This window comes from Homo sapiens, chromosome 11, assembly GCF_000001405.40.
Source record: "Homo sapiens chromosome 11, GRCh38.p14 Primary Assembly".
Lineage (NCBI taxonomy): Eukaryota > Metazoa > Chordata > Mammalia > Primates > Hominidae > Homo > Homo sapiens.
In genome coordinates, this window is record NC_000011.10 from 111,894,873 (window position 1) to 111,907,548 (window position 12,676).

A 12,676-nucleotide genomic window follows, 5' to 3' on the forward strand; every position below is an offset into this window, starting at 1 on the left:
CCATAGGATCCAGCAATCCCACTGCTGGGTGTATATCCCAAAGAAAGGAAATCAGTATATGAAAGAGATATCTGCACTCCCAAGTTTGTGGTAGCTCTGTTCACAATAGCCAAGATTTGGAAGCAACCTAAATGTCTGTCAACAGATGAATGGATAAAGACAACATGTTACTTACACACAATGGAGTACTAGTCAGCCATAAGAAAGATTGAGATACTGTCATTTGCAACAACATGGATGGAACTCTGAAAGTCATTATGTTAAGTGAAATAAACCAGGCACAGAAAGAGAAACATCACATGTTCCTGCTTATTTGTGGCATCTGAAAATTGGAACAATTGAACTCATAGCAATAGAGTAGAAGGATTGTTACCAGAGGCTGAGAAGGGTAGTGTGGGTTGGGGGAAGGTGGGGATGGTTAAGGCGCTCAAAAAAAAAAAAACCAGAAAGAATGAATAAAACGATATGATAGCACAACAGGGTGACTATAGTCAATAATAATTTAACTGTACTTTTGTGTGTGTGCATGTGTGACAGGGTCTCACTCTGTCACCCAAGCTGGAGTGCAGTGGCCCAATCTCGGCTCACTGCAGCCTCTGCCTCCCGGGTTCAAGTGATTCTTCTGCCTCAGTCTCCCGAGTAGCTGGGACTACAGCCGCGCACCACCACGCCTGGCTAATTCTTGTCTTTTTAGTAGAGATGGGGTTTCGCCATGTTGGCCAGGCTGGTCACAAACTCCTGACCTCAAGTGATCTGCCAGCCTTGGCCTCCCAAAGTGCTGGGATTACAGGCATGAGCCACCACCCTGGCCCAACTGTACATTTTAAAATGACAAAAAGAGAATAATTGGATTGTTTGTAATACAAAGGATAAATGTTTGAGGAGATGGATACCCCATTGTCCATTATGTGATTATTATGCATTGTATGCCTGAATCAAAACAATTCATGTACCCCATAAATATATATATATATATATATATATATATATATGCCTACTATGTACCCACAAAAATTAAAAAAAAAAAATTAGAAGTGTTTTTGGTTTCTATTGAGAAGTTTGATGATATTTTCATGACCAGAAGTATGTTTTTGTTTAGCTATGTTTTCATGACCAGAAATATAGTTTTGTTTACATCAGCCTATGGTAAAATTGTTATTAAAGTCACAGTTTCCAAGAACCTATCAACAGTGTTAAGTAAGGACTTATTGTATGTGTTTACAGATATAAATTTCTGTTTAGTATTGCTTTTACTGCACCCCATAAGTTTTGGTATGTTGTATCCTCTTTTTCCTTTCTTTTTTATTTATTTATTTATTTTTGAGACAGTCTCACTCTGTTGCCCAGGCCAGAGTGCAGTGGTGCGATCTTGGCTCACTACAACCTCTGTCTCCAGGATTCAGGTCATTCTCCCGTCTCAGTCTCCTGAGTAGTTGGGATTACAGGTGCCCGCCACCGTGCCCAGCTAATTTTTGTATTTTTAGTGGAGATAGGGTTTCACCATGTGGACCAGGCTGGTCTGGGACTCCTGACCTCAAGTAATCCACCCGCCTCGGCCTCCCAAAGTTCTGGGGTTACAGGTGTAAGTCATCGCACCCAGCCTCTCTTTCTTTTCTTTTTTTGAGACAGGGTCTCTGTCTCTCTCTCTCTTTTTTTTTTTTTTTTTTTTTTTTGAGACAGGTGCAAACATGGCTCACTACTGTCTTGGCCTCCTGGATGCAAGGGGTCCTTTCACCTTAGCTCTCTAAATAGCTGGGACTTCAGGTACGCACCACCATGCATGGCTATTTTTTTGTATTTTTTGTTGAGACGGGGTTTCACCATTTTGCCTAGGCTGGTCTAGGACTCCTGAGCTAAAGTGATCCACCTGTCTTGGCCTCCCAAAGTATTGGGATTACAGGTGTGAGCCACGGCACCCAGCCGTGTTCTCTTTTTCATTTGTCTCAAGGTATTTTCCAATTTCCCTTGTGATTTCTTCTTCTTCTTCTCCTTTTTTTTTTTTTTTTTTTTTTTTTTTTTGAGACGGATCTTGCTCTGTCGCCCAGGCTGGTATGCAGTGGTGCAATCTCGGCTCACTGCAGGCTCCGCCTCCCGGGTTCACGCCATTCTCCTGCCTCAGCCTCCTGAGTAGCTGGGACTACAGGCACCTGCCACCATGCCTGGCTAATTTTTTTGTATTTTTAGTAGAGATGGGGTTTCACCAAGTTAGCCAGGGTGGTCTCGATCTCCTGACCTCGTGATCCACCCACCTTGGCTTCCCAAAGTGTTGGGATTACAGGTGTGAGCCACCATACCCGGCAGTGATTTCTTCTTTAATCCAGTAGTTGTTTAAGAGTGTATTGTTTAATTTGTGAATTTTCCATTTTTCCTTCTGTTATTGATTTCTAATTTTATTTCCTTGTGATCAGAAAAGATACTTTGTATGATTTCAGTCTTTTAAAATGTGTTAAAACTTGTTTTGTGGCCTAACTTGTGGTCTGTCCTGTAGAAGGTTTCATGTGCACTGAGAAAAATATATCTGCTATTATTGGACAGGATATTCTGCCACAACATTTTAATTTGCCTCTAACTCCCCAATACCAGACAAAGCTGCAGAGAATATCCTCATATATGTTCCTTTATGGACCTGTGTAAATTACCCATATGCTGAATTGGTGAGTCCCGAGGTATATCTTTATTTAATTTGACTATTGCTCTCAAGAATGGCTGTGCCACTCACATACCCATCAACAAGGCCTGAGGCTTCCTATGTTGCCATATCTCTGCTAACACTTAACATTAATGTGGTGCCTCACGCCTGTAATCCCAATACTTCGGGAAGCCAAGGCGGGTGGATCACCTGAGGTCAGGAGTTAGAGACCAGCCTGGCTAACATGGTGAAACCCCATCTGTACTAAAAATACAAAAATTAGCTGGGTGTGGTGGCACACGCCTGAAGTCCCAGCTGCTTGGAAGGCTGAGGCAGGAGAATCGCTTGAACCTGGGAAGCTGTGGTTGCAGTGAGCCAAGATCGTGCCATTGCACTCCAGCCTGGGGGACAGAGCAAGACTCCATCTCAAGAAAAAAACAAAACAAAACAAAACATTAACCAGCTCTCTATTTTTTGCCATGCTGATAGGTGTAAAGCAATGGTTCTCAACCTGGGACAATTTTATCCCCCAGGAGATAATTGGCAATTTCTAGAGACATTTTTTATTTTTACAAGGGGGATGTCTATTGGCAGCTAGTGGGTACAGGCCAGGGATGCTGCCAAACATCCTACAAGGCACAGACAAGCCCCCACAACAAAGACTTGTCTGGCCCAAAATATTGGTAATGCCAATATTGAGAAACACTGTTGTAAAGAGATAGCTTATTGTTACTTTGGTTTGCATTTCATTGACTACTAGTTATTTTCAGCATTCCTTTGTATGCATGTTGGCTTCTTGATTTCCACTTGTATAAATGTCCTATAGTCTTTGTCCTTTTTAAAGAAAATTGGAGTAGCTGTCCTTTTCTTGCTGATTCTTAGGAATTCCTTGTATATTATTGCTATTAACGCTATTATTCCTTGTGAATTTTAGAGATTTCATATACCTTCTCCCTCCCTGTAAGCTGCTGTGGAGGATTAAGTTTGGCTGGAAACTCTTTTACTCTCCCTCCACCAAGAGGTAGGGGGTCTGTGCCCTTCCCTTGGAATGTAGAAAGGCTTTGCAACTGCTTTGGTAAAAAAATTATGGCAAAAGAAACGCTGTGTAAATTTCCAGCCCAAGCCTTAAACTTGCAGCTCCCACTTTCTGTCTTTTGGAACACTCCTTGGATACCTGAACCACTGTATAAGAAATCTGACTATCTGCTGGAGAGATCTTGTAGAGAGATCCTGACACTATGTGGACAGGGAGAGAGGCCCAGCTGAGCCCACCTTTCCAACCATCCGTGCCAAGGCATCAGGAATGAGAGTTAAGTCACCTTAAAACCTATAGATGAGACCATCTACCAGCTGAATACCACCTGGTAAGGTTTAATAAAATGATCGTTGTTTTAAGCCACTAAATTTTCAGGTCGTTTGATATGCAGAAGTAGATAACCAGCACAGTATTCCATAATCTGACATTGTGTGCTGCAAGTTTGCTGAATTATCTTGTTAGTTCTAACAGTTTGTTGATTCTGATTTTTTGGGGGGTGGGGGAGGACAGGGTCTCACCCCCGCTTCCCCAGGCTGGAGTGCGGTGATGTGATCTTGGCTCGCTGCAGCCTTGAATCTCCAACTCCTGGGCTCAGGTGATTCTCCCACCTCAGCCTCCCAAGTACCTGGAACTACAGGTGTGCACCAATACGCCTGACTAATTTTTTTCTTTTTTTTTTTCAGTAGAGATGGAGTTTCACCATGTTGTCCAGCTGGTCTCAAACTCCTGGGCTAAAGTGATTCTCCCACCTCAGCATCCCAAAGTCCTGGGATTGCAGGCATGAACCACCGTGCCTGGCCTGTCTGTTGATTCTTTTGGGGTTGTTTTAGCAGATTATTATATCATTTATAACTAATAACAGTTTCATCTCTACCTTTCCAATTCTTACACCTCTTCTTTGTTTTTCTTCAGTTATGGCATTGGTCAGAACCTTTACTGCTATGTAAAATATTAGGAGTGACAATGGGCATCCTTGTCTTGCTCAGGATATTCAAAGGAATAGAATGAATTTAAATTTTCATTGGTAAGTATGTTTGCGCTAAGTTTTTGTTATATAATATTTACCAATTTGAGGAAATTTCTTTTATTTCTGATTTTCTAACAGAAGTTTCCCTCCATGTAAATAGAGAAGCTGAACCACACATTAGTTGGAATAATCATAAGATTTTATTTTCTTTTAGTCTATTAACATAGTGAATTTATATTGAGAGATTTTCCAATATTGAACCATAAAATATGCATTCCTGGCGTATTTTACTTTGAGTGATAACTTACCTAAAACTATGAGTTAACAGCTATTTCTACCCCACCAGTACTTTGAAGCCATTACTCTACTGTCTTTTGATTTTTACTGATGCTGAGAAGTCTGCTGTCAATCTAATCGTAACTCATTTGTAATTAACACATCTTTTTGTCCTCATATCTTTTAAGATTTTTCTCATCCTTATTGTTCTGGATTTTCACAGTCATATATTTAGGTGTATATTTAGTATTATTTATCCTGCCCAATATCTGAAGACCCACATCTTCAATTCTGAAAAATCTCTTCAAGTAATGCTTTATCATTTTCTCTATTAATTCTTAGAAGCACCTGTTTGGATACATATTGGTTTCTCATTTTCTCCTCCGTATATCCTAACTGTTCTTATTTTTTAAAATCTTTTCCCCCAATTTGCTGTATTCTGAGTGAATTCCTCAGCTTTCTTTCAATTTCTAAATGTGTAACTTTGTTCCTTATAGCATTCATAACATCAACTAGTTTCTAATACATCTAAATGGGTCTTTTTCATGTCCATCCACTTTTAAAATTCTGCTTGTTTTAATGTAATATTTCTTGCCCTTTCTAAATACAATTATTATGCCCCCCTCAACTTTTTTTTTTTTTTTTTGAGACAGAGTGTCACTCTGTTGCCCAGGCTGGAGTGCCCTGGCGCAATCTTAACTCGCTGCAATGTCTGCCTCCCAGGTTCAAGTGATTCTTTTGCCTCAGCCTCCCGAGTAGCTGGGACTACAGACGTGCGCCACCACGCTGGGCTAATATTTGTATTTTTAGTAGGGATAGTATGTCACCATGTTGGCAAGGCTGGTCTTGAATTCCTCACCTCAGGTGATCTGCCCATGCTAGCCTCCCAAAGTGCTGGGATTACAAGTGTGAGCCACTGCGCCCAGTCCCTCATTTTTATTTTTTAATTTTTATTTAATTTTTTTAATTTGGAAAAAGTGCTTCTTACAAAAAGGCAGCTGCAAAATATAGGAATGGAAAATACCTCTGCAACAATTACTTGTCTTTTTCTTAAAGTAAAAGAATGGGTGGGTTCTAAGGTTCTTCATTTTTCTTATTGTTGATTTTATTGTTGCCTATCTTTCTTACTACGAGATTTCTTCATGTGTTTGGAATTTTGATTTTCAATAGATTCTCAGTTTGCTTTTCCTTCTTTATTTCTCTGCTTCTATGCCCACCACTCCTTACTCTCTAGTGGTTTTGCAGTTGCCTTCATCGCACTTCTTACATCTCCTTCCCAGTTCTAAATAGGATTTTATAATGATGAGTGGGGCTACCATCCTGCTGTCATATTGGGTGCTATCACTGAACTGCAAGATATCATATATAGGCCGGACACAGTGGCTCACGCCTATAATCCCAGCACTTTGGGAGGCTGAGGTGGGTGAATCATTTGAGGTCAGGGGTTCAAGACCAGCCTGGCCAACATGATGAAACACCATTTCTACTAAGAATTTTAAAAAATTAGCCGGGTATGGTGAAGGGTTCCTGTAATCCCAGCTACTAGGAGGCTGAGGCAGAAGAATTGCTTGAACCCGGGAGGTGGACGTTGCAGTGAGCCGAGATCACACCACTGCACTCCAGCCTGGGCTACTGAGCAAGACTCTGTCTCAAAAAAAAAAAAAAAAAAGATATCATATATAAATTCTGAATCATGAGGCTATGTCTTGGTCTTTCCACCTCACTAAGCCCAGCTTCTATTCAACTATAATCCAGAAGGCAGATGGACAGGATTTTTCTGCCTTTCTTTCACGAGTGGGAAAATCCCACCACAGCCACTGGCATTAAATAATGAGCCAATTGCTTCATATGTCTTATTCTTCTGTCTTAGATTGAGAATTATTAGTCTCATTACCCTGTAGGAGTCGAACTCATCAGCTTCCACTGTCTTCTTCTAACTAGAGTCTAAAACGCCCAACCTCCTAAATTTTATTTATTTAAATATTTTGTAATTTAATTTGTCCATATTGTCATTTATCTTTTCTACTTTAAAAATTCTACCATTGCTATGTGTTTACAGTAGAGGGACTGCATCAAATATGAGCATACTGCTCTATCTTGTCAAGAAGTCTGTCCCCCATTTCCTCTTTGACCCACCACTTTCCTACAAGTGTTTCTATGACAGTGAAAATTTTACCAGATCTAATGGATACTTCAGCTCACATGTTATTTAACTTTTATATTCTGCATTTGGTAATCCACTTGACAACCCACTTTTTCCTTCTTGAAATCTTATTCCCTTGGTTTCTATGACATTGTGCTAAACATGTTTTTCCCTCACTTCTCTGATCATTACTAGGTCTCTTTTATGAGCTCATTTTTCTCTGCCAATACCTTAAGTTTGCCTTTTCAGTGATTCTGTGGCTGGCCCTTTTGCTCCTTTTTTTGCTAACCCTAGGTAGTACTATCCACTCCTATACCTTTAACTCCTATCTATATGCTTCCAAATTTTAAATCTACACTTCTATCCCAGATATGTGTTCAGAACAGTGGATATAAATATCCAACTATTTATTGAATATCTCCATTTGAATTCCCGAAGACCTCACGAACTCAACATATCTAAACTGCATTCATAATCTTTCATTTCAAAAAAATTTTCCCCCTGGTATATTCTGTATCTTGATGAATTTCATAGCTCTTTTTAACCATTCTTATTTTTAAAACTATATATTGTATAATAAGTTCACACAATTGTCAAAACCAGAAACCAGAGAATTATTTTGGTGTCCCCTTTCTCATCCTCCTTATCCAAATAGACACAAGCCCTATAAATTCTGTTTCCCTATTATCTCTTGATACGTCCTCCTTTTCCACATCTTTATTGCCTTTGTCATATTCCAGTGTTCCATTATTTCTCACCTAGTCTGCTGCAACACTTTTTTGGTTGATGTCTCCGTTCCCCATTTTGCTTCCTACTTATCAATTGCTATGTTTCTCCTAGAGTGAGTTTAAAATGCAAAGTTGATCGTGCCACTCTCTTGGCTAAATTCCTTTATTGGCTTCTATGATCTTCAAAATGCATTCCAAACTCCTTAGCGGAGCCACTTTCCAACCCTCTTGCCTCATTTCTCACACTCTTTCTGATACATCCAGTGCTCCAACTAAACCTAAATACCCAGGCACTTCATGCTGTTCTCTCTTCCTAGGTCTATTTTCCTTCTTTCTGTATCTTGCTAAGTACTATATACCATTACAAATTCAGTCAGACACCCACAAGGATGGCTAAAATAAAAAAGATAATAACAAGTGTTGGTGAGAATATGGAAAACTGGAATATTCATACACTGCTACTGGGAATGTAAAATGGTGCAGCCACTGTGGAAAATAGTTGGCATTCCTCAAAAAGTTAAACATAGAATTATTATGTGACCCAGCAATTATACCCCTAGGCATATAACCAAGAGAACTGGAAACAGGTATTTAAAAATAAAAACCGGGGCTGGGTGCAGTGGCTCATGCCTGTAATCCCAACACTTTGGAAGGGCAAGGCGGGTGGATCATCTGAGGTCAGGAGTTCGAGACCACCCTGACCAACATGGTGAAACCCAGTCTCTACTAAAAATACAAAAATTAGCTGGGCATGGTGGTGTGCACCTGTAATCCCAGCTACTCAGGAGGCTGAGGCAGGAGAATTGCTTGAACCTGGGAGGCAGAGGTTGCAGTGAGCTGAGATCGCGCCACTGCACTTGAGCCAGGGTGACAGAGCGGGACTCTATCTCAAAAAATAAATAAATAAATAAAATAAAAACCTGTGCATACATGTTCATAGCAGCAATATTCATAATAGCCAAAATGTGGAAACTCAAATATCCATCAACTGATGAATGAATAAATAAAATGTGGTATGCTTCTGCAATGAAATATTATTTGGCAACAAAAAGAATGAAGTACTGATACATGCAATGACATGGATGACTCTTGATTCTGCTAAGCAAAAGAAGCTAGTCACAAAGGGCCAGATATTGTATGATTCTATTTATAGGAAATGTCCAAAATGGGCAAATCAATAAAGAAGGAAAATAGATAAGTGGTTGCCTAGGGCAGAGGGGCAAGCATGGGAGGGTAATGGCAAAGGAGTGTAAGGAATCTTCTTGGGCTAACGAAATGTTCCAAAATTGATTGTGATGGATGTACAACTTTGTAATATTCTAAAGCCATCAAATTGTAGTTTGGGTGAATTATATATTACATGAATGATGTCTCAAAGAAGCTGTTTTAAAAATTCGGTCAGCAGGCCAAGTGTGGTGGCTCATACCTATAATCTCAGCACTTTGAAGGGCCAAGGCAGGGATATTGCTTGAGCTCAGGAATTCAAGACCAGTCTGGGCAACATGGTGAAACCCCATCTGTACAAAAAATATAAAAATTAGCTGGGTGTGGTGGTATGCATCTGCAGTCTCAGCTACTCAGAAGGCTGAGGTGGGAGAAGCACTTAAGCCTGGAAGGTCAAGGCTGCAGTGAGTTGTGATCATGTCACTGCATTTCAGCCTGGACGACAAAGTCAGACTTTGTCTAAAAAAAAAAAATATTTAATTAACAAAAATTCAGTCAGGAGGTCAGATGTGGTGGCTCATGCCTATAAATCCAGCACTTTGGGAGGCCAACGCAGGAGGCTTCCTTGAGCCCAGGAGTTCAAGAACAGCCTGGGCAACATAGTGAGACCTTGTCTCTAAAAAAAAAAAAAGCCCAGCATGGTGGCTCAGGCCTGTAGTCCCAGCTACTTGGGAAGCTGAGGCAGGAAGGTGGCTTGAGCCCAGGAGGTTGAAGCTGCCATGAGCTGTAATCATGTAATATTGTTTGGCTGTGTCCCCACCCAAATCTCATCTTGAATTGTAGCTCCCATAATTCCCATGTGTTGTGGGAGGGACCTGGTGGGAGATAATTGAATCATGGGGGAAGTTTCCCCCATACGGTTCTTTGGTAGTGAATAAGTCTCACAAGATTTGATGGTTTTATAAGGGGAGACCCTTTTCACTTGGTTCTCATTTCTCTCTTGTCTGCCACCATGTAAGATGTGCCTTTCACCCTCTGCCATGACTGTGAGGCCTCCCCAAACACGTGGAATTGTGAGTCCATTAAACCTCTTTTTGTTTATAAATTACCCAGCCTCAGGTATGTCTTTATCCGTAGCATAAAAACGGACTAATACATCATGCCACTGCAAACAACAACAACAACACAAAAACCAACCAACCAACCAAAATTCATCCAGGGTAACTGTCTCCAGGACTCCTTCTGTGTCCAGAATAGGTATTTCCCTTCAGGGTCCCCATAGCAGACATTTTGAATGGACATCTTAGGATCTTAAAAAGGTATCTCGGAATTATCTTTTTACTTGCCTGCTCTTCCACTCAATTCTTAATTCCTTAAGAAAACATGTCTTATTTTTGTAGCTAGCACATAGAAGGCACTCAAATAATCATTGAATGAACAGCAATTATAAATCTTCAGAACAACAATCGGACCCAGTGCAATCTTCAAAATAAAAATGTGAAGTAAAAAGTAGCATAGAATTTTTCGAAGCATAAAAATATGTATCATTCCAAAAGCATTAGGCAAAGATAACCATCTCATTTTCTAAGTATTACATCTTACTGAAATAACATATATATATTATACACACATTCCCCAGAATTCTTCTTTAAAAAATGATTGCTTTAAAAAGGTTAAAGCACTTAGCACAGTGCCTACCACACAGTAAGTGCTTGATATGGCTTGGCTCTGTGTCCCCACCTAAGTCTCATGCCAAATTGTAATCCTCAATGTTGGCAGAGGGGCCTGGTGGGAGGTGACTGGATCATGGGAGTGGACTTCATAGCTTTTCTCATGATAGTGAGTCGAGTTCTCATGAGACCTGGTTGTTTAAAAGTGTGTAGCACTTCCCCCTTCGGTCTCTCTTCTTCCTGCTCCAGCCATGTAAGATGTGCCTGCTTCCCCTTTGCCTTCCCACCATGATTGTAAGTTTCCTGAGGCCCCCCCAGCCATGCTTCCTGTGGAACTGTGAAATGATTAAACCTCTTTTTTTATAAATTACCCAGTCTCAGCCAGTTCTTTATAGCAATGTGAGAATGGACTAATACAGTGCTCAATAAATGTTAGCTAACATTAAAAGACAAAACAAATACTAATTAGAATTGTCTCAGTAAACTTCTGGTATAATTCAGATATAGGGAATGAAGTAGAATTGTGGATGAGTTAGCTATAAAGCTAAAAAAAAAAACCTCTCAAATATACTGTACTAGAATAGTCCTATACTAATATCGTAGCAGTGAATAGCCACAGCAAAGGGTGTGATCTAGGAAAGAATAACAATAAAGAACCAGTCTAACTTAGGCACTTATGGTGACAATAAACAAAAAAAGTGGCCCTGCACATTTTTGAAACAAATATCATTATATAATAGTCGAAGTTGTGATTTATTTAAAACCAAGTCCATAATTGCTTGGGAAATATACTAGTAATTAACTAAAATGATTAAAATTGACACATGGCTTCCAGGCATTCAGTTATTTTACACTATCTAATTCAGCCTTGATAATGTTAGATATTTTTGCCTACTAGTAACAGAAAACCCACGTCAAAACAGATTATTAACAAAAACAAGACATAATCAGACAGCCTGAAGTAGGGAAACTCTAGAGTTGGCTAATTCAGCAGTTCATTGACCCATTAAGGACCTGAGATTATTGTCTTTGTGCTCAGCATATCATGGATGCCCGCTTCACGTTTTCAAAATGGCTACAGTAATCCAGGCATCACATTCTCGTGCTCCAACATCCAGAGCAAGGAAAAAAAAAATCTCTCTCTCTCTCTCTCTGAATCTTTCTGAAATCTTTTCTTAGTTTAGAAACTTTTTCTAGAAGCATCTCCAACAGACTTCCCTCCTGTCTCATTTGCCATAATTGAGTCATAGCCCTTTCAAGAATAATCTTGAAAATCAAGAAGAGAATTTCCCTGCTTGATTTGGACTAATCAAGATAGACCTCCTATGGCTGGAGCTTGAGTTCACTTCTCTGAAGCACATGGCTAGGAAGAACATGGTGTATACCTAAACCAATCTGGGATACTGTTGGCAAGGCTGAAGGTGGTAAATAGCTGTTGGTTAGGCAACCAACAGTGTCTGCTACACAGCCACAAAAATTGGCTGTAAACTTCTGGCTAGATCACAGTATTTCAGACTATTAGGAAGTTGTTTTTTAAGAGAAAGCATTTTTGAACCGGTATAGATTTGCAATTTATATTGTCCTAGCTCCACACCCCTGCATCATGAATTTTTTTATTAAGTTTTAAATTTATTTATTTATATTTTTTGTTTTAGTTGGTATAGTCAATTTTTCATTTTAGTCATTCTAATAGGGGCTCAGTGATTCTCATTGTGATCTTTTTTTTCCTTTATTTTCTTACATAGGTAAATGCATGTCATAGGGGTTTGTTATACAGACTATTTCATAACTCAGGTATTAAGCCTAGTAACCATTAGGTATTTTTCCTGATTCTCACCCTTCTCTCACCTTCCATCCTCCGATAGGCTCCAGTGTGTGTTGTTTCCCTCTATGTCATAAAAAAATTTAGGCAATTGTTTCACGTAGAATATTTCAAAACGCTGGTCAGTCCCCAAACTGACTGACTTCTGATTTTGCATGAAATCAGAAATTAGCTAGAAGTTGCTAAAGAAAAAATAAGAGTTGTCAATAAACATTTATACCAGATCACCTACAGCAGTGCT